General features: G+C 44.8%; 1 protein-coding gene across 7 annotated transcripts in view, besides 1 other annotated feature; it reads left to right on the top strand.

The window, feature by feature from the left end:
- Positions 1 to 22,438, top strand: part of TIAM1 (TIAM Rac1 associated GEF 1) — a 440,670-nt gene that overhangs the window by 8,713 nt on the left and 409,519 nt on the right. The window lies entirely within an intron of this gene.
- Positions 4,500 to 5,232: an enhancer, noted in NCBI's record as "NANOG-H3K4me1 hESC enhancer chr21:32917456-32918188 (GRCh37/hg19 assembly coordinates)". NCBI's record gives its function as "activates a minimal SCP1, AML or CMV promoter by ChIP-STARR-seq in naive H9 embryonic stem cells {active_cell/tissue: H9 hESC(naive)}" and the evidence as "EXISTENCE:reporter gene assay evidence [ECO:0000049][PMID:30033119]".

The raw sequence follows: 22,438 nt of genomic DNA, 5'->3' as shown, positions 1-22,438 counted from the left end.
CTTCTTTCATTTAGCATCATGTTTTCAAGGTTCATCTGTAGTGTGACGTGTATCAGTATTTTACTCCTTTTTCTGGCTGAATAATATTCCATTGTATGGGTATACTACATTTTGTTTATCCATGTATCAGTTGATAGACATTGGGTTATTTCCACCTTTTGGCCTTTGTGTGTAGTTACTGTTATGAATGAATATGGCACAAGTATTTGTTTGAATATCTTTTTTTTTTAAATTCTTTTTTTTTTTCTTTTGAGACGGAATCTCTCTCTGTCGCCCAGGCTGGAGTGCAGAGGCACGATTTCGGCTCACTGTAGCCTCCACCTCCCAGGTTCAAGCAATTTTCCTGCCTCTGCCTCCTGAGTAGCTGAGACCACAGATGCATGCCACCATGCCTGGCTAATTTTTGTGTTTTTAGTAGAGACAGAGTTTCACCATGTTGGCCAGGCTGGTCTCGAACTCCTGACCTCAGGCCACCTGCCTGCCTTGGCCTCCCAAAGTGCTGAGATTACAGGCGTGAGCCACCACGCCCGGCCTTTTAAAAAAATATTCTTTTGGATGTAAACCTAAGAATGGAGTTGCTACGTCATACGTAATTCTATGTTTAACGTATTGAGGAACTACCAGATTATTTCCCAAAGTGGGTGCACCATTTTACATCCCACCAGCAGTGCATAAAGAGTCCAATTTTCCCACATCTTTGTCAACACTTGTTATTGTCTGTCTTTTTGATTATAGCCATCCTATTGGATGAGCGGCTGTATCTCCTCATGGTTTTGATATGCATTTCTCCAATAAATAATGTCATTGAACAGAACATCGTTTCATGTGCTTGTAGGCTAATCGTATATTTTCTTTGAAGAAATGTATCTTCAGACGTGTTGCTCATTTTTAATTTTTTTTTATTAATAAGTTGTAAGAATTCTTTATCTATTCTAGTTATAAGTCCCTTATCAAATATATGATTTGCAAACATTTTCTCCATTCTGTGCGTTGTCATTTAATTTTCTTGATGATGCCCTATGCATATTTATTTTTAAAAGCTGAAAGTCAATAAAAAATGTTTACTTAGTCATGATTCTGCCAATACTTTTCACTACATATGTAGGTGGTATGCTAATTTACATTTCCTTTTCTACACTTCTGGCATGACTAATTAAGTTATAGATCAAGAAAAGGAACACAGGAAACATTTTGTTTTAAAACACCAATTTCACACTTAAAAAAAGCAAAACTTTGTTTACTTAAAAAAACTCTGAATCACTCAGTTATTTTATTTATCAGAGCTTCTTGAAGGAAATATTTGCAATGAGATTTGGAAGTGAACTACCTTTGGTATCAGCTTTTGGGTGTTAAACTTTTGCTGGGTGGTAGTTTTTGTTGTGTTTTATTAATACAGAGGCTCTCAACTGGGGGCAGCCTTGCCTCCAAACATTTGGCAATGTCTGGAGATATTTTTGGTTGTCATGGCTAGAGAGGTTCTAGTGGCATCTAGTGGGTAAAGGCCAATGATGCTGCTGAACATCCTCCAGTGCATAGAACAGCCCACCAGGACAGTGATCAGGTCCATAGTCAATAATGTTCAGCTTGGCCTGGCACGGTGGCTCATGCCTGCAATGCTGGCACTTGGGGAGGCTGAGGTGGGTGGATCGCTTGTGGCCAGGAGTTCGAGACCAGCCTGGCCAACATGGTGAAGACCCATCTCTAGAAAAAAATACAAAAATTAGCTGGGCATGGTGGTGCATGCCTGTAGTCCCAGCTACTTGGGAGGCTGAGGCAGGAGGATTGTTTGAGCCCAGGAGCAGAGTTTGCAGTGAGCTGAGATTGTGCCATTGCACTCCAGCCTGAGTGACAGAACGAGGCTCTCGTCTCAAAAAAAAAAAAAAACAACAACAAAAGGTTAAGGTTGAGAAACCCCACATTTAAAAGACACAGATGGCCTGGCACGGTGGGTCACGCCTGTAATCCCAACACTTTGAGAGGCTGAGGTGGTCAGATCACTTGAGGTCAGGAGTTCGAGACCAGCCTGGCCAACATGGCGAAACCCGTCCCTACTAAAAATACAAAAATTGGCTGGGTGTGGTGGCACACACCTGTAATCTCAGCTACTGAGGAGACTGAGGCACATGAGAATTGCTTGAACCCAGGAGGCGGAGGTTGCAGTGAGCTGAGATCTCGCCACTGTACTCCAGCCTGGGTGACACAGCGGGACTCTCTCAGCAAAAAAAAAAAAAAAAAAAAAAAAGACACAAATAACAAATACTATTCGAGATCACATGTTGAAATGTCTTAGGAAAGAATCTTGTACTTTCTAGATATTTGGAACTGAGCTATCTTGAGGCATCAGCTTTTGGTTATTATTTTAGCTGGAATTAAATTAAGAAAGTGTATCTTCCTTTTATACAGTAGAAAGTTCTTTAAAGCTAGATAATAATTTCAGGTGTTTTGGGCTTTTGTGTGCTTGAGCAAGTTCTTTCAATTAATGTCTTCTGGATATTGCTAATAACTGTGTCATGCAAAGCTCATCCTTAACCCTCAAATCTGTTATGGTTAATATATTGCTGGGTGATTATTACAAAATTACTCCTCTTAAGCAGTTTATCGAGCATTGAAAATATTTTCAGAAAACGTTCCAAGTGTGGTGCATGGTCTACCATGACATTTTAGAAAAGATGTGTGAATGTTCAAATAATTATCTCATCTTGAAATCTCTGTGATTAGAAGTTACAATTTCAGTGCCACAATTATATCAATTGAACTTTAACATTTCATTGTAATTATAAAAATTAAAACCTTGTAACTGTGGTTCTTAGTTAACTAAACAATTTAGCAATCGAATTCCTTAAAAGTAGATTGAAAATCCTCACCCTGTAGTTTTTTTCCTTTTTTCCCCCTGCTGACGGACAGCTAATTGCTTTAATTTTGAGGGTTGGATCTGCCTGCAACCTTGGCCCTGTGAAACCTCACCAATTGTATCAAACAATTCAAATTATCTTAAAAGTTTGTGGGAGTCTGTTGCCACAATTTCAGTGGACTTCAAGTAAGAATACACAAATGACAGTCTCTTTCTTGGAAGATGGGCTCAAAACCAGATATACTTTGTTTCTAAAAGTTGCCGGTTAGCATGAGGAACCTGCAGTCTTCATGACAAAGACTTTAGAGATCCCAGTTAACTGCCCATTCTTTAAAACAGGACCAGTTAATGTAGCTTATTAGAGTGGGAAGGGCTAAAATTGTTCCTTTTGGACAGACTGAATTTTAATTGTAGTGATCCATGTCTTCTCAGCCTGTGATACAGCAGTTCTGAATCTCATCCAAGTCAGGAAAAGTGAATTTATGAGCCTCCTAGCAACTAGCAACTAGTAAGCTGGAATGCCTGGACCTTATCTTTATTACAACATAGGAGCCAGCCCCCCCCCACTATTTTGGGGCACAGCCCTGCAGCTGAGACAGCTGAGACAGTAGTAACAGGGCTTTGGGGAAAGTTGTTTCAAGGGTATAAGATATGGTCTTGGTTGCTGCATTATGGTTGCTAGAGAACTTTAATTTGGGAAAAACTTGAAAACTCAAGGTTTTTCAAGCTTCAACAAGTTACTTCGTGGAATTCTGGAGCAGAGGAGAGTCAGGTTTAATAGTTTTTACTCCCACTGTAGATGCTGTGACATGCATATCCTTGAATTTTTTCCTTTGCCATGAATAAAATATTTCTGACCTCTAGCAGTGTTAAAATGGTTAATAGCCTTTGATTACATGGGCCCACCCTTCTCCATTTTTCTCAGGCATGCTCTGGTTTCTTTCTTTCTTTCTTTCTTTCTTTCTTTTTTTTTTGAGATGGAGTCTTGCTCTGTCACCCAGGCTGGAGTGCAATGGTGCGATCTCATCTCACTGCAACCTCCACCTCCTGGTTTCAAGCGATTCTCCTTCCTCAGCCTCCTGAGTAGCTGGGATTACAGGCATGCGCCACCATGCCTGGCTCATTTTTGTATTTTTAGTAGACATGGGGTTTCGCCATGTTGGCCAGGCTGGTCTCGAACTCCTGACCTCGTGATCTGCCTGCCTGGACCTCCCAAAGTGCTGAGATTACAGGTGTGAGCCACTGAGCCTGGCCTCTGGTTTCTTTTTAACATTTTTTTTTCCTTCTACCTGGGTAATTCTTCTGGAAGATTCCATCACAGTTTTTTTTTTTTTTTAAATTACAAATACCTCTTTTCATTACATAAAGTGTGCCAGAATACCCATTATAAATATTCTTTAGTGTTGAGATTAAGGGTGGTTGTTATTTTCTTTTATTAAAAATTTTTTTTAAAATAAATTAAAACAATTTTTTTCTCTTCCTGTATAAAAGCAACTTATTTTCTTCTGTATGATTTTCTCTAACTTTGAAAGATTTTGTGATGAGTAGTAGTTACTTGTATAATCAGAAAAATCACATTAATGAATATACACCTTCATCTTTGAATGGGTGTGACTAGTGGACACTTAAGCCCCCCAAAGTCATATTTTCTCGTTTTGTAATCCACTTTACACATGGAGATTAATCACAAAGTGTTCCTCTTAACAACAAGGACCTTGGGAAGAATAAAGAATATGTGGGCTCTGTCAGAGTGAACAAAGATGAGAAAGCCAGTGGGGGCCACAGAGGAGCCCAGTGATTAAATCTCAATGGAAGGATTAGCGCTATTAATGGATCCTTTCAGGCTGGGATTGAACCAAGACCCTCAGTCATCAGAACATTGTTGACCTTGGAGGGTTGAGTGCCTCCCCTTTTTTCCCCTTTCTCCTTAGACACTAGTCTTATATCCACAGTCCCAATCATGGTTGTGTCTCATGACTTCAGCTTTTCTCTAGGATTGCCTCCTGGTTCATGAATGATCCCATCTTCTCTGAATGTCCCAAAGCATTGATGATTTCCAAGACATTTAATTCATGTCTTTGTTAGTTTCCTCCCGGTAACAAGGTACCTCAATCTGGTGACTTAAGACAACAGAAGTTTATTCTTTCACAGAACTGGAGGCTAGAAGTCTGTAATCAAGGTGTCAACAGGGCCACACTCCCTCTGAGGGCCCTAGGGAAAATTCTTTTCTTGCCTCTTCCAGCTTTTGGTGGCTCCAGGCAATCCTTGGCTTGTCACATTATCATTCCAATCTCTGACATTATCACATGGCTGCATTCTCCATGTGTGTCTGTGTGTCTGTTTCCACATCTCCCCCTTTCTCTTATAAGGTTATCAGCTATTGGCTGTAGGGCCCAGCCTAATTCAGTATGACCTCTTCTTAACTTGATTATATCTGCAAAGACCCTGTTTCCAAAGAAGCTCACATTCACAGGTACCAGGGATTAAGGTTTTGACATATCTTTTTTTTTTGAGACGGAGTCTCACTCTGTCACCCAGGCTGGAGTACAGTGGCGTGATCTTGGCTTACTGCAAGCTCCGCCTCCCGGGTTCACGCCATTCTCCTGCCTCAGCCTCCCCAGAAGCTGGGAATACAGGCGCATGCTGCCACGCCTGGCTAATTTTTTGTATTTTTAGTAGAGATGGGGTTTCACCATGTTAGCCAGGATGGTCTCGATCTCCTGACCTTGTGATCCACCTGCCTCGGCCTCCCAAAGTGCTGGGATTACAGGCGTGAGCCACCGTGCCTGGCCAGGATTTTGACATATCTTTTTTTGAGGGCTACAGTTCAACCCATAACCATGCCCAGCTGCTCTGTTAGACTGCCTGTTTGTTTGCTTGTTTATTTATTTATTTTGAGACGGAGTCTTGCTCTGTTACCCAGGCTGGAGTGCAATGGCGTGATCTCAGCTGACTGCAACCTTTGCCACCGGGGTTCAAGTGATTCTCCTGCCTCAGCCTCCTGAGTAGCTGGGATTACAGGCGCCCACCATCGTGCCTGGCTAATTTTTGTATTTTTGTAGGGGTGGGGTTTCACCATGTTGGCCAGGCTGCTCTTGAACTCCTTCGTCATTTCGAGGTTTCCATTTCACCGGAACCAAATGTTAGCTCTGGTGGTCTGGGACAGCAAGAGGGATCGTGGCCCTTTTGAGAAAGAAATGGGCTTTTCATCCTGACCTCATGTAATCTGCCTACCTGGGCCTCCCAAAGTGCTGGGATTACAGGCGTGAGCCACCACAAGTGGCCTATTTTTATTTATTTATTTATTATTTATTTTTTGAGACCATCTCCCTCTGCCCCCCTGGCTGGAGTGCAGTGATATGATCTTGGCACTGCAACCTCCGCCTCCCAGGTTCAAGCGATTCTCCTGTCTCAGCCTCCTGAGTAGCTGGGATTACAGGCACTTGCCACCATGCCCAGCTAATTTTTATATTTTTAATACAGATGGGTTTTCGCTGTGTTCGCCAGGTTGGTCTTGAACTCCTGACTTGAACGATCTGCCCACCTTGGCCTCCCAAAGTCCTGGAATTACAGGCGTGAGCCACTGTGCTGGGTCTTAGACTGCCTATTTAAATTGGTTAAGGACGTGTAATATGGATATGTCCTCAGTGCTAAGAAGCTTGATTTTCTGAAAGCTTAGCTCTGATACGCCACCTGTGTTTTAAACTTTCGGTGGCTATGGCTAGCCCTACTGGTCCAGACCTTGTTTTTCAATCTTGTCTGACAGGACTCCTTGTTCAAATCCTTTGAGCCAGTGAAACAGGAGTTACTTCTCCTCGGGGATATATCCTGTTTTCTTATTCTTTTGCTCACACTGTTTCCAGATCTGGGACATTTCTATTTCTGCACGTCAAAATCTACCTCCTCTTCTAGGTGTGGTTGAAATCAGCCATCTTCTTACAGTTTTCCTCGATGTTCTGCTTCCTCCGTGACTTGAAGTCGTCCCTTCCCTTCTGAATCGTTACAATGTTTCTTTTCTGTGTGTTGTTATAGTCTAGCTTGGGTCTCTGTGGACACTTGCCAGACCGCAAACTCTTAGATGGCAAGGTCTCAGCCACATTCATCTCCCACGGCGCTGCTGTGGAGGAGCTTGGCCTGTGTTTGGATAAACTTGCCCCGATTTGTAACTCAGCAGTCTGTACGCACGCATGACGCGCAGGTCATTGCCAAGAGCGCGAGCTTGGAATGGTGGCGGCTGTGGGACGAGAAGCCCAAAGTGAAAAGGGGATTTTACTCAGGAGAGATCAGAGAGGGCAACTTCCCTATGGGCCCATTGGAGAAGAAAGTTTCTCTTAGTTGCTGATGAGCAGTTTCCAGCCAGGGTGAAACTGATGTATAGGAAGAGGCAACATGAGGCAGCATGTACTCTGAGGGGGAAGCAGGGTAGGCAAGCAGTTTGGAACCAGCAGATAAACAGAAACCAGAAAACCAAGAAAAACATCGCACCGATATGCCTTTGATTCCAAGGTGAGCCCTTCTGGACCTGTTTTTATTTTTATTTATTTTTTATTTATTTTGAGATGGAGTCTTGCTCTGTCACCCAGGCTGGAGTTCCGTGGCGCAGTCTCGGCTCACTGCAACCTCCGCCTCCCGAGTTTGAGTGATTCTTCTACCTCAGCCTCCCGAGTATCTGGGACTACAGGTGCGCACCACCATCCTGGCTAATTTTTGTGTTTTTAGTAGAGACAGGGTTTTGCCATGTTGACCAGGCCTTGGTCTTGAACCCCTGACCTCAAGTGATCTGCCCTGCTCAGTCTCCCAAAGTGCTGGGATTACAGGCATTACTGTGCCCAACCGTGGACCTGGGTTTTTAAAAAGTGTCACAGGGACTGAGCAGCCCAGGACCTAACCTGCAAATGGTTGCGGAAGAATTTGTACCTGGATACTGAGCCTATGTGTAGAAAATCATGGATGATCCTTGAGGGAGTAGTAAGGGTTGGGGGGCAAGTAGAAATAGAGAGAAGCTGAGTTCCCTAACCTCAAGGAGAAAACATTTTGCCTCAGAGGTGAGATGATCCCACAATGCTGTACCTATTACTTTTTTTTTTCTTTTTTTTTGAGACGGAGTCTCGCTCTATCCCCCAGGCTGGAGTGCAGTGGCGCGGTCTCGGCTCACTGTAAGCTCCTCCTCCTGGGTTCACGCCATTCTCCTGCCTCAGCCTCCCCAGAAGCTGGGAATACAGGCACACACCACCACGCCCGGCTAATTTTTTTTTTATTTTTAGTAGAGACGGAGTTTCACCGTGTTAGCCAGGATGGTCTCGTTCTCCTGACTTTGTCATCCTCCCGCCTCGGCCTCCCAAAGTGCTGGGATTACAGGCGTGAGCCACCGCACCTGGCCTGCTGTACCCATTACTAAGCATTCAGAAGAATGAAGGAGATCTTCATGGGAGGAGCCTGGCTTGAATGCCTGTGGTTGGGTCAAGGGTTGAGGGCATAGTCTTCATTTCGAATGACCACAGAGGGAGGGGTGAGGGCACTGGTTTTAGGGAAAGTGAGGAAATTGCTAATTGAGATCTGATAAGGATTCAGGCCTTTGCTTGACTTTCCCAACCTATTTTTCTAGGCAGTTGGGCAAGCACTTAGCTTCGAAAGGGATTTTGTGCTGCACATGGATCAGCTTACTCTTTTAAAATGTGTTTTTATTGACTGCATGATTTTTGTAAGAACAATAAAATGCATTTAAAAGGAGACATTCTTCTGCATTCCTAGGATAGGAACACATTGGTTGCTTTTGGTTTTCTCTGTTTTTTCTTATCCATATTTTGGATGTACTTTTTATATAATTGTAACTCTTAAATAGATACAGCTTTGTATTTTGTTTCTTTTCAGGTAGTGTTACACCATCAGCCTGCATATTGTAGCCACTTTATCCTCATATTTCTCATTTATAATGGTCATACATTTCAGTGAGCTCATAATTTACTTAACTATTCTCCTGTAATTGAACATTTATGTAGTATTATTTTCATCACTATTTTAATAATCTTTTTTGACCTTTTTCTTTTCTTTCTTTTTCCTTCTTTTTGAGACAGGGTCTCACTCTGTTGCCCAGGCTGGAGTGCAGTGGCATGATCTTGGCTCAGTGCAGCCTCAACCTCTGGGGCTGAAGCGATCCTCCCACCTCAGTCTTCCGGGTAGCTGGGACTACAGGCGGGCACCACCACACCTGGCTAACTTTTGTATTTTTTGTAGAGAAGGGGTTTTGCCATGTTGCCCAATCTAGCCTCAGACTCCTAGCCTCAAGTGATCTGCCCGCCTCAGCCTCCCAAAGTGATGGGATTAAGGCATGAGCCACCATGCCCAGCCTGACATTCTTTAAGTATATATTGTTTGCTTGCTTTCTTTTCTAAACATACTTTTCTCAGGATAAATTCCCAGGATGTGGGTTCTGTATTCAATATGTATTAAATATGACACTGTAAAAAATAGCTCTTGATTTGAATTGCCAAACTGCCTTCCAGAAGCTTGATTGGTCTTCATCAGTTGATGTATATATCCATATATGAATTTATCAATAATAAGTATATTGGACTCACCACAGCCTAACTAGCAACGGAATCTTAATCATTTCACTTTATTTTGTTGCTGTTAATTGAACAATATCTCCGGCTCTCTCTCTTTCTCCATTTCTTTACTTTTCAGGTAGACTTTACTTTTCGTGTTTATTACTTTAAACATTGTTTTAAGTGTTTACAAAACACTATCATTATCTTATCACTTAAATCTTTCTTACGCCTCAGAGCAAAAAAAACAAACAAAAGAAAACTATGAACAACTGTCTTTGGATTCCTCATCTGTGAGATGTTGTTTCTGAGGTCCTTTCTAGCTTCCAGTGTCTTGAGTCTTTGATTTTATGAACCAGAAGTTTAAGAAGTGAGCAGGCTGGACATAAGAGAGCCTCATCTGCAGAGATGGGGGTCCCCGTATGTTGCCCAAGCTGGTCACAAACTCCCAGGCTTAAGCGATCCTCCTGCCTCAGCTTCCCAAAGTGCCGGGATTATAGGCGTGAGCCACCTCTTCCGGCCACTTGAATACTTTTATAAGTGGTGTTTAGGACTATAACCATTGTACTCGCTACCTTTTTTTTTTTTTTTTTGAGATGGAGTATTGCTCTTTTTGCCTAGGCTGGAGTGCAATGGCGTGATCTTGGCTCACTGCAACCTCCTTCTCCTGGGTTCAAGTGATTCTCCTGCCTCAGCCTCCCAAGTAGCTGGGATTACAGGCGCATGCCACGACACCCAGCTAATTTTGTATTTTTAGTAAAGATGAGGTTTCACCACGTTGGCCAAGGTAGACTTGAACTCCCGACCTCCAGTAATCCACCTGCCTTGGCCTCCCAAAGTGCTGGGATTATAGGCGTGAGCCACTGCGCCCGGCCTGTACTTCCTACCTTTTATTGATCCTTTCCCTTGTGCTAGGCCTTAATTTTTTTTTTCTTTTTTTTTTATGTTTTTTTGAGACGAGGTTTCACTATGTTGCCTAGGCTGGTCTTGAACTCCTGGGCTCAAGTGATCCTTGTGCCTCAGCCTCCCAAGTAGCTGATATTACAGGTGCGTACCACAGCTTGCACTGGGCCTTTTTGATACTTTACATGTTATCATTAAGAAGTCCTCAAAAGGTGAGTACTGCCATCCCATTTTACAGATGAAAAATTGGAGAAGCAAAGAGATTAGATCCGTGACAGGCCACACAACCTGGGTGCGATGAAATCCACTCTCATCAACTGCTAGCAGCACTTGGGTGCTTATGTGGCTGGGATTCACTGATTCTCACCCTCCCCTGAATTCTGCGTCTGCCAGGGCCACCACATTGCCCTCCCCCTTCTCATTTCGTGTCCCTCTGTGAAGCAGTCCGGAGTGTCCATGTGACTCTGCTAAACTGAGCAGAAGGTTTAGTACAGAATAACTAGCCCATTCCGGCCGGGCGCGGTGGCTCACGCCTGTAATCCCAGCACTTTGGGCGGCTGAGACGGGCGGATCACGAGGTCAGGAGATCAAGACCATCCTGGCTAACACGGTGAAACCCCGTCTCTACTAAAAATACAAAAAATTAGCCGGGTGTGGTGGTGGGCGCCTGTAGTCCCAGCTACTCGGGAGGCTGAGGCAGGAGAATGGCGTGAACCCGGGAGGTGGAGCTTGCAGTGAGCCGAGATCGTGCCACTGCACTCCAGCCTGGGCCACAGAGCGGGACTCTGTCTCAAAAAAAAAAAAAGAGTAACCCATTCCCTCTCTTCCCCTGTCATTTAATACAATCCAGTGCCTCAGAATACTCTGTCAAAGGTATTTTATTTAGTCGAGACCATTTAAGAATGGAAGAAATTTCCTGTTGAGAGATTTAATGTATGTGGTGTGTGTGTGCTCTTGGAGGCAAATGGATGTTTAAGAGTGTGTGAGGTGAAGGATAGCAGACTCCGGAAGTCTGGGGACCACTTAGGTCTGTAACCCTCCCTTTCGCACCAGCTGTCCAGCTCTGAGAGGCCTCCTGGGTTTCCCATTTATGGGGCCCCTTTACTGTTACGGCACCTGTTTAAATGTGGTGTTTCCATTACGGGAGGCATGGTAGGTGGCTGGAATGAGCGGCCGTGCAGGGACGATGCGTGCAGGCTGCCCCTCCTCCCACCACTTCTTGGGGAAAGTCCATTTTTGGTCTTTTGTTTCAGCGAGAAATGCATAAAAACGTTTTCAGGGACCCCTCCCCGCTTGCTTTGCAGCTAAAATTTCAGGCTTTGACAATAAGGGGCCAAATCTCTTTCGAAACCAAGGCAGCATTAATGAAAACATTGTCATGTCCATATTTCTTTTGGAAAAATCTTTTAGAGCATGTGACATGGACGTGCATGACATTGGGCTTGAATGATGACAGCATTCTGTGTTCTTCCTTGGAATTCTGGGCGTCCTCAGGCAGGAGAGCTTTGCTGTAAACGGGGTGATATCATCCCCATTTTACAGATAGGAAGCTATGCACTAACATTATGTATATATTTACTTATTTTAAAAATACTTTTTAATTTATATAGAGATACGGTCTTCTCCCATCTCAGCCTCCTGAGTAGCTGAGACTACAGGCGCATGCCATGACACCCGGCTATTTAAAAAATTTTTTATAGAGACAGGGTCTCACTGTGTTGCCCAGGCTGGTCTCAAACTTCTGGCCTCATGCATTCCTTCTGTCTCAACCTCCCAAAGTACTGGGATTATAGGCGTGAGTAACCGCACCTGGCCACATATGTATTTAATTAAAAAATTATTGAAATTAAATATAACATACATACAGAAAAGTGTACGTTATTGTATTTGTACAGCTTGATGAATTCTTACAAATGGGATAAAACCATGTAACCAGCACATAGATCTAGAAACAGAACATGCTGAGACCCCAGAAACTTTCCTGTTGCGCCCCCTTCAGGGCAACCCCAATCCTGATTTCTAACCCCATAGATGTATTTTTGTACTTGATAGTAAGGAATCGCACAGGATGTACTTGATTGTATTTGGTGTCTTTCGTTCACTGTTATGTTTGTGAGATTCATCCATTTGTAATTTTCACTTCCAAAACATTGTTTTTAAGTTTTCTTTGTTTGGATAAATAATGCCTTTACATGGTTTCAAGATTAAAAAGATTATAATGAAGTACACATAGAGCAGTCTTGTGCTCACCCCATCCCTTAATACCCTAGTTTTCTATCCTCTTGGGTAAATATTAATACTTTTCTCTCTTTTTTTTTTTCTTTTGGAGATAGACTTGCTCTGTTGCCCAGGCTGGAGTGCAGTGGTGCGATCTTGGATCATGGCAACCTCCGCCTTCCAGGTTCGAGCAATTCTTGTGTCTCAGCCTTTCAAGTAGCTGGGAATACACGCATCCACCACCATGCCTGGGCAATTTTTGTATTTTTAGTAGAGACAGGGTTTCATCATGTTGTCCAGGCTGGTCTTGAACTCCTGGCCTCGAGCGATCCACCCACCTTAGCCTCCCAAAGTGCTGGGATAACAGGCATGAGCCACTGCTCTCGGCCCTATTAATACTTTTTTTTTTTTTTTTTGCGATTTCTTGCAGTATTGGTTTATATAAGCACAGGCGTGCTAATTTTTGCATCCCCCCCAACCAAAAAGATAGCACATCTTCTTTACTGTCATACACCTTGCTATATTTTTTTCCTTTGCTTGCTCCTCTTCAGTCCCAAGACCCTTGACCTATGTTCAGCCCTATGCGGGTGAGTTGAATACTATCCCTCCAAACACTCATGTCACTGGAACTTCAGAATGTGGCCGCCTTTGGACATAGGGTCTTTGCAGTTGTCATCAGATAAGAAGGGGTCCTACTGGATTATAGTGGACCCCAGATCCAATGGTTCAGATACAGAGGTGTGGGCACACAGAGAATGCCACACGAAGACAGAGGCAGAATTGCAGCAATGCAGCCACAAGCCAAGAAGCCGCCCGGAGCTACCAGAAGTTGGAAGAGGCAAGGAAGGATCCTTCCCCAGAGTCTCTTGAGGGAGTGCAGTCCTGCCAACACTTTGGATTTTGGACTTCTAGTGTCCAGAACTGTGACAATCAACGTCTCTGTCATGGCAGGCCTAGGAAGCTAATGCCCTCTTCTTGCCCTCTCTCCTGAACATGGCCTCCTGGTCCCTGCCATCTTGTCCTAACCTTTCAATGTGACTTCCATGGGAGGTCAGCTGTCTCCCTAGTATGTGTCTGAGTGTTGGGGTTTAGAATTCATCATCTTCCCCGTGGCTTGAGATGAGGTCTGAGGCCATAGGGCTCGTGCCCATGCCCTGTTCCACCCGTTTCTCCTCACTCCTTGCTCACCCCAGCCCTGCCCACTCAGCTCTGCTGGGGGACACACGTCAGCAGATACCTGTGGGGTGACTATAGGTTTTTAGGTTGGTGCAAAAGTAATTGTGATGTTTGCCATTACTTTTAACCAACCTAATATGTTTGGATTGAAGAGTATCGGGTGAGAGTTTGAATCTCTAGTGGGTCCCGGCTGTCCTGAAGACTCCCTTCCTTCAGCTTCCTGCATTTAGGTGACCTTTGGGGTATCCGGGGTGGTCCAGATTGCACCATTTGCTTGCAGTTCACAAGCACAGCATGCGCTTGCATGGGCAGGTGCCATGGTGTGCAGTGGGTAAGGGCAGTCATCTCACAGACCATAGGGGAAACCCCCAATCTGAGCCAGACTGCATTGCTTAGCCACTTATGAATAGAATGACCTCGGACGATGCAATTTGCCTTATGCCTCAGTTTCCTCGTCTATCACATGGGGAAAATAATAGAACCTATTTCATAGGGATGGTTGTGAGGAGTGAATGAGCCGATTCCTGTAGATGCTTTGAACAGGCCTGGTGCCTGGTGTGGGCCCAGGAAGCATCAACCCCCGGCCTCTCTGCCTGTGCCGCATTTTCTCCCCTTCTGGTCCATTCTTGCTTATTTTTAAAGGCCCAACACAGGCACCATCGCCTCTAGAAAGCCTCCCAGGACCTTTTCTGCTGGCATAGTAACCCATCGTCTTCCATTCATCTGTTGGCGTGCCTCTAATTCTTGAGAGCAGGCTCATTCTGGTGTTTTGTCATCCCTGTCCCTGGCATGGCTGCTGGCACCTGATGGGCCTTCAGTTTGGTACTTGCTTGGGAAAAGAGCAAGTGATGAGTTGAGTGATGTCCCAAGTGTCACACGGTGGATGTGCCAGTGCTGGATGTCAAACTCACACATCAGCCAAAAAACACTCACCTGGGGGCTTTTTTGTTCCCATGGGAAGGTATAGAGTGTGTCTGAGCTCTGGGAGAGACTGGGGCAATGGGAAGGAGGAAAAGACCTAGATAGAGAACCAGGTAGAGGGCTTGTGGCTGTCCCAAAGCTCCAGGAGCTCTGACATCCCCTTTACGTGGGCAGCCTCTTAGAAAATCTTTAGATGGGCAGGCCATACTCATTGATAAGCTTGTGCATGAAGCTCTGTAAAGGTTGGGGTCCATGTTTTTCAATTAATTTAAGGAATCAGAGCCCATTTGCATGTGCTTTAGTTTTAAAGTGATAAGAGAAAAAATTGGAACAAGAACTTTCTGGATAAACTTTTTTTTTTTTTTTTTTTTTTTTTTTTTTGAGATGGAGCCTTCCTCTGTCGCCCAGGCTGGAGTGCAGTGGCACAATCCTGGCTCACTGCAATCTCCTCCTCCCAAGGTCAAGCGATTCTTCTGCCTCAGCCTCCTGAGCAGCTGGGACTACAGGCGCCTGCCACCATGCCCAGCTAATTTTTGTATTTTTAGTAGAGACAGGGTTTCACCATATTGGCCAGGCTGGTCTCGAACTCCTGACCTTGTGATTCGCCTGCCTTGGCCTCCCAAAGTGCTGGGATTACAGGCGTGAGCCACTGCGCTCAGCCTTTTTTTTTTTGAGACAGGGTCTTCCTCTGTCACCCAGGCTGGAGTGCAGTGGCACAGTCATGGCTCACTGCAGCTTTGACCTCCTGGGTTCAGGTGATCCTCTCACCTCAGCTTCCCAAGTAGCCAGGGCTGGTGCCACCACACCTGCCTAATTTTTTGTAGAGATGGGGTTTCGTCATGTTGCCCAAGCTGTTCTCGAACTCCTGGGCTCAGTAATCCTCCCAGCTTGGTCTCCCAAAGTGTTTGCACCATGCCTGGCCCTGGATTAATTTTATGACAACAAAGATACTGAGAAAATATGTCAAATGCTCACAATGATTACTCTTTTAGGATTTTGGGGGCAGTCAAGATTCAGTGATGGGCAGTGGTTTTGACCAGGCAGGTAGAAATTAAGATTCTTAAGTGCTGATTTTGGATTCTGTTTTTGAGAGAGAGTCTTGCTCTGTTGCCCAGGCTGGAGTACAATGGCGTGATCTCGACTCACTGCAACCTCTGCCTCCCGGGTTCAACAATTCTTCTATCTCAGCTTCCCGAGTAGCTGGGATTACAGATACACACCACCATGCCCAGCTAATTTTTGTATTTTTAAAAGAGATGGGTTTCACTATGTTGGCCAGGCTGGTCTTGAACTCCTGACCTTGGGTGATCCACCCACCTCGGCCTCCCAAAGTGCTGGGATTACAGGCATGAACCCAGTTGATTTTGGATTCTTAAGTGCTTCTTTGGTTTGTCCTGGAACTTAGAACAAGACAGGCCATTAGGCCAGGGAGCTCAGTTTCCTGTTGTTAAGTCTGGTTGTTCTCGATGTAGGCACTGGATTTAATGACTTTTTAATAAGGCATGGAGATCCATAGAAGACAATGTCTCCTGGCCAGCATGTTAGGCTTAGATGTTAATGGTGAGTTTGAATATGCTTAGTGTCAGCGCCTAGCGTGGTTTTTGTACCTTGGAGGTACTCGCTTTCTCTTCATTGTGTTTTCCATTATATGGAGTGGGTGAGGTTTTGGAACTGCAACTCAGAGCCCTAGAGAGATTCTCTGGATGCCAGGCGGGTATTTCCGAAAGACCACAGGGCATGTGTGTCCTTTGGAGGGGCTGTGTGAAAGGAAAGCTAAGCACATCCTGTAATTGAGCACTTAAGAGATCCCGAATCCCTCGTGCTTAGGTACTTCTTTATCTAACCCTATTCCCTCCTGTCCGCACATTTCCATCAGAGGGTCTGTAGCTGTACTGCCCACTATGTTGACATGTGGCTAGTCTGAATTGGGAAGTACTGTCAGCATAAACTACAAACCAGATTTCAAAGACACAGGAAGAAGGAGAAGAATGTTTGCTATCTCAGTAATAATTTTTTATTTTATTTTTTTAGAGACAGGGTCTTGCTCTGTCACCCAGGCCGGAGAGCAGTGGCATGAACACAGCTCGTGCAGCCTCAAACTTCTGGGCTTAAGTGATCCTGCCACCTCAGCCTCCCTGGTAGCTGAGACTACAGGTGTGTACCACCACCCCTGGCTAATTAAAAATAATTTTTGTAAGTGGGCTTGTCTTGAACTCCCGACCTCAAGTGAGCCTCCTGGGTTGGCCTTCCTAAGTGCTGGGATGACAGGTGTGAGCCACTACACCCAGCCACGTGAATAATTTTTTGTGTTGATTATATGTTGAAATGATAGTATCCGTGATATACCTGGTTGAATAAAATAGGTTATGAAATTCTGTTTAACCTTTTAACTTTTAAAAACATGTGGCTACTAGAAAATTTATTTTATTATTACTGTTTTTGAGACAGAGTCTCACTCTGTTGCCTAAGCTGGAGTGCAGTGGTACTATCTCAGCTCACTGCACCTTCTGCCTCCCATGTTCAAGCGATTCTCCTGCCTCAGCCTCCCGAGTAGCTGGGATTACAGGTGCGTGCCACCATGCCTGGCTAATTTTTGTGGTTTTAGTAGAGACAGGGTTTCACCATGTTGGCCAGGCTGGCCTTGAACTCTTGGCCTCAAGTGACCTGCCCACCTCAGCCTCCCAGAGTGCTGAGATTACAGGCATGATTATGTTGAGATACGCCTGGCCTGAAAATTTAAAATTATGTTTTCCCCTGGCCTAGAGAAAGGCTGTCCACCTATCTTGCTGGGATAACCTGCTAGGGTAGGTATATTTATTTATTTTTTTCTCTTTGTTGCCCAGGCTGGAGTGTAGTGGTGTAACCACAACTCACTGTGGCCTCGACCTACAGGACACAAGGATCCTTTTACCTCCCCGTCCTGAGCAGCTGGGACTGCAGGCATGCGCCACCACACGGGCTAATTTTTTGTAGAGATGGGATTTGGCCACGTTGCCCATGCTGGATAGGATGGGGAAATTTCTCTTATTTCAGGAATTTCTTAATTTTAATGGGCCCCTTCACCCCACAAAGCGTGTTTGAAGCTAGAGTGCGGGGAGATTAAAAAGTACAAGGCTAAGTGGTTTCCAAAAATGAATTTTCATCACTAGCATATTGGAAAGATAGGAATTTTCTCTGCAGCAAAATTAATGTAGGCACATTTAAAAGATTAGGTAGACATTATATCAGTGCCTATTGTGAGTAACAATAGCTCTGTGTATTTAATTGCTTGACTCCCCTTTAAAAGTCTAAGAATAAAGAAGTAAGAGTAGTCATAAAACCTTAAAATAGTTTAGGAAAAATTAATGAAGGACATAAAAGCAAGCAGCATAGCATCGGAGGGGGAGGCTCAGCCTATCAAGAAGAGATTTTGTGTGTTGGTTGGTCATGTGTGTAATTACCATCAGCACTGGGCTGTTTTGGTGTGTGCAGCCAAGGCTGTGCCTAGTTTTAGTTGGACCAAGGAGGTGCTTCTGTGTAATCTCCTCCACTCTTACTCCACAGCCAGAGATAGCATGTCAGTCCTTGCATCATTAAATGGCTCTGTAGGAGAGTGAACTGTAGGCCTGTTTGCATTGCTTGCTGTTGGTTTCTTTTTTTCTTTTTGAGACAGGGTCTTGCTCTGTCACCCAGGCTGGAATGCAGTGGCACAATCATGGCTCATTGCAGCCTGGAACTCCCAGGCTCAAGGAATCCTCCTACCTCAGCTCCCTAAGTAGCTGGGACTGCAGGCACACGCCACCATGCCTGGTTAATTTTTTAATTTTTCATAGAGATGGGGTTCCCCTCTGTTGCCCAGGCTGGTCTCAAACTCCTGGACTCGAGCAATCTGCCTGCCTCGGCCTCCCAAAGTGCTGGGATTATAAGCATGAGCCACCGTGCCTGGCCTTCTGTTGGTTTCATATTTGTTTCTCTTGCTGTTGATTTTGTTTCTCCCAAGGAGGCATCTTTTTTTTTTTTTTAACTCCTGTATAGTTGAATGTAAAATGGATATTCAGTTTAGTGGTTTTTAATTAGTTTACTTAATGGTGAGTAAAAAAAAGCAGATTATTCCCTTCCCTTCTCTCCTGCCCTCCTTTCTTCTCTGGGTCCTCTTTGATCCTCCTTTTTCCATTTCTTTCACCATCTCATTCCCTTCTATAATGTATGCTACTGTTTCTTCCTCTTCTTTTTTCTTTCACTATAGCGATCACATGGAGAAGTCAAGAGAAATATGTGTTTAGCCAGTTTGTCTCTGTACCCTAACTTTTACTACTAATGCCTTGCTTACCAGGGTGTCGTTTTGTTTCTTTTTATTTGGTCACCTCTGCCCTTCCTTCCATACAGTCTCCTCTCACTAGGCAGCCCCCAGGGGTTGCGGCCCTTGTGTGGCACCGGTGGCTGGCTCACAGCATAGACCTGCCTTGGACCTGGGCCAACCCTACAGTTGGAGCTGAGCAAACACTGTTTTTCACTGGGGAGCCGATTGGACAGAGGCCCAGGGTGGAGTACCCACGGGCTCAGTGGAGGCCTGGTTTTACTTAAGATATTCCAATCAGAGAAGGGGGGAGTAAACAGTCTGCTAATTAAATCTGTGGGTGGCAGTAAATTTGGAGGTGTTGCAAAGCCCTCTGTGCACAGAGAGGACGTTGGGAAAACACAAAGAGCTGTAGAAAGGTGAGGCAAGGCTTGGGGAGATGAGATTCTGCTTGGAAAAGTACAAGCCGCCATCTGGAGAGAAATTAGCCATGGTTGCTACTCTGTGGGGCGTAAGTCAGTGGCGCTGTGATTGACTTGGAGCCAGGACTGTTCAGTCCTGTTTCTTGTTCTTGATACTAGGAATCATTTTTTTTTAACCTCTAAATTTATTACTCAGGAATGAAGCCAATCCTACTGTATTCTGGGGATTATAAGGCTTGGGTATACGAGTGAACAGATAGGAGAGTGTCTTCCAGAAACATTGCCTGCCCACTTACATTTCCAGGCCAGGGGTCCGGGGTCTTGGAGGTTGGTTCTGGGGATGCGAAGTGCGGCTGACCAGCTGGTGGGGACAGCTGATGGCTCAGTGTGGATCAGAAGGCGCCTTGCTTCCACCAGGAGGCGTCCAGGTGTGTGCCCACCAGGGGGGCTCATACAGTCGGGCACTGGGGTGCCCCACAGTTTTATTTGTAGATCTCCATTCATCTTCGTGGCTCTGCTTCCTCTAGGAGTTTCATAGCCACACAAATATGCTTTAGTACGTTGAGCTGGTTTCCATTTGCCAGACTGAAAAGCTACACTGTTGTGAAGGGAGACAGAATAGCATTGACGGTGAAGAGCAGGCATTTGGGGATTTTGGGATTTTTGGAATTCCATCACTGTTCAGGCCTCTGGACAGTGTTCAGGCCTCTTGGCCAAGTTGCTGAATGTCTCAGCCTCAATTGCCTTGTCTAAAAAGTGGTGGTGAGAGGGTTAAAGAAATGTTGTGTAGAGATAACTTTGCTTGGCAGCAAACTTTCAGGTAGATCGATGATAGCTATTCTTGAAATATGTGGAGGTCATCTTCAAAACCTTTTCAGTATGAATTCAGAGGAGACCTTCCCAGATGAGGTTGCCCTGGGAGATGGCATTGACGGTAGCCTGGAACTGGGAGAATAGTGGTGACATCAGGCTCTAAGAAAGGAGTTAAGTTCCTCCTTGAGTTTCCTCATATGGTTGTGTGAATGCCAGGTTGTCTTCTTGCCTTCCAACGTGTTAGTAGAAATAAACATTTGCAGGGGGGTCGCAAAAGCAGTGCTAGGTCCTGGCTCCAGCAAAGGTGGCAACAAGAGAATGCTGTAATGTCCATGACACTTCCGCGGAGATGACAGAAACTGACAGGAGGCCAAGCAAGGTGGAATCTTCCCTGGTGAGAACATCTTACATTGTCTCTGCGGACCTTCCCTCGAGAGGAAGGGGGCATGAGGTGAATTTTCTCTGGAGTTAGGAGAGATGATACCAGGTTGGAGTTCATGGACTTTAAGTTTATAAACACATGTCTGCACAGCTGTCTTGCAATGACAGTTGCTCTCTGCATTTGAGGAGCAGGTATTTGGGAAGGAGCAATGCTGGATGGGTGACCTAATTTATTTCCTTTGTTTCCTTCTGGCCTGAACTGGGCAGGTAGCCCTGACCCACAAGGTCTTAAACTCCCTGAAAGGAAATCCATTTGCTGATAAAGAAGATACATTGAAGAGATAAAGAAGAGAATGTTTGGTTTCCTGCTTCCTTCTCTGTTTACTCAAGGTATTCAAGAGCTACTGAAGGGAACATACTCCTCGTTTCTGAAATCTTATGCTTGGAACTCAAAATTACACTAGTAATTGTTACAGTAGTAACAACCCATAATTACATTAGTTATTGTTTTCTAATTGTTTTATCTGCATTAATTTTCTCTCCCCAACCTAATAGGATGGAGGGCTTTTTGAGGACAGGTTTTGTGACTTTTTTTTTCCACCTTTCCCCATTGGACTCAAGTATCTGTTTGAAAGAATAAAAAGACATTTCGGCTGGGCGCGGTGGCTCACACCTGTAATCCCAGCACTTTGGGAGGCCGAGGTGGGCAGATCAGGAGGTCAGGAGATCGAGACCATCCTGGCTAACACGGTGAAACCCCGTCTCTACTAAAAATACAAAAAAATTAGCTGGGCATGGTGGGCGCCTGTAGTCCCGGCTACTCGGGAGGCTGAGGTGGGAGAATGGCGTGAACCCGGGAGGCGGAGCTTGTAGTGAGCTGAGATCGCGCCACTGCACTCCAGCCTGGGCGACTGAGACTCTGTCTCAAAAAAAAAAAAAAGAATAAAAAGACATTTCATTTTCATAATACCTATTCTTCCAGTTTCCTGAAAGGATATGATAAATAGAACTGAATTTTAATCTTGAGAGTTTTTTTTTTTTAATTTGTTTGTTTATTTATTTATTTATTTAGAGTCTTGCTCTGTTGCCCAGGCTGGAGTTCAGTGGTACAATCTCCACTCACTGCAACCTCCGCCTCCCGGGTTCAAGCAATTCTCCTGCCTCAGCCTCCCGAGTAGCTGGGATTACAGGCACACCACACCATGCCTGGCTAATTTTTTTATTTTTTTAGTAGAGACAGGGTTTCACCATGTTGCCCAGGCTGGTCTCAAACTCCTGACCATGTGATCCGCCCGCCTCGGCCTCCCAAAGTGCTGGGATTACAGGTGTGAGCCACCGTGACCTGCCTATTTATTTTAATTTTTATTTCTGTTGCCCAGGCTGGAGTATGGAGGCGCGATCCTAGCTCACTGCAGCCTCCATCTCTTGTGCTCAGGGAGCTTCCTGCCTCCGCCTCCTGAGTAGCTAGGACTGAGTAGCTAGATGCACCACTATGCCCAGCTAATTTTCAAATTTTTTGTAGAGACAGGGTCTTGGTATGTTGCTCAGGCTGGTCTTGGACTCCTGGCCTCAAGCAATCTTCCTGCCTTGGCCTCCCAAAGTGCTGGGAGTATAGGGATGAGCCACTGTGCCTGGCTTTGGGAAGTATTTTAAATAGAGGTCACATACTTAGTGCATTGATAGTGCTGCCTCTTCCCTGGAAGAAATATTTTCATTGATCGGCATCCCCCCTCCCTGCTCCCTTAATCTCCCTAGTTATCTCTTTCTCTCTGTCAGTGAATGTTGTTTAAACACTGAAGTCTCATCAATCTTGTACGCTGGAAAGCCTAGAATCACTAGTTTAGGGCTTCCCATCTCAGCTATATTAACACTGTAACACTTGTATCAACAACAGTCTAGCATCCTGTTGGAATTAACACACATGGTGCTCCCA

The sequence above is a fragment of the Homo sapiens genome, chromosome 21, assembly GCF_000001405.40.
Source record: "Homo sapiens chromosome 21, GRCh38.p14 Primary Assembly".
NCBI lineage: Eukaryota > Metazoa > Chordata > Mammalia > Primates > Hominidae > Homo > Homo sapiens.
The sequence above is the reverse complement of the archived record's forward strand: the minus strand, read 5'-3'. Positions and strand labels throughout refer to the sequence as shown.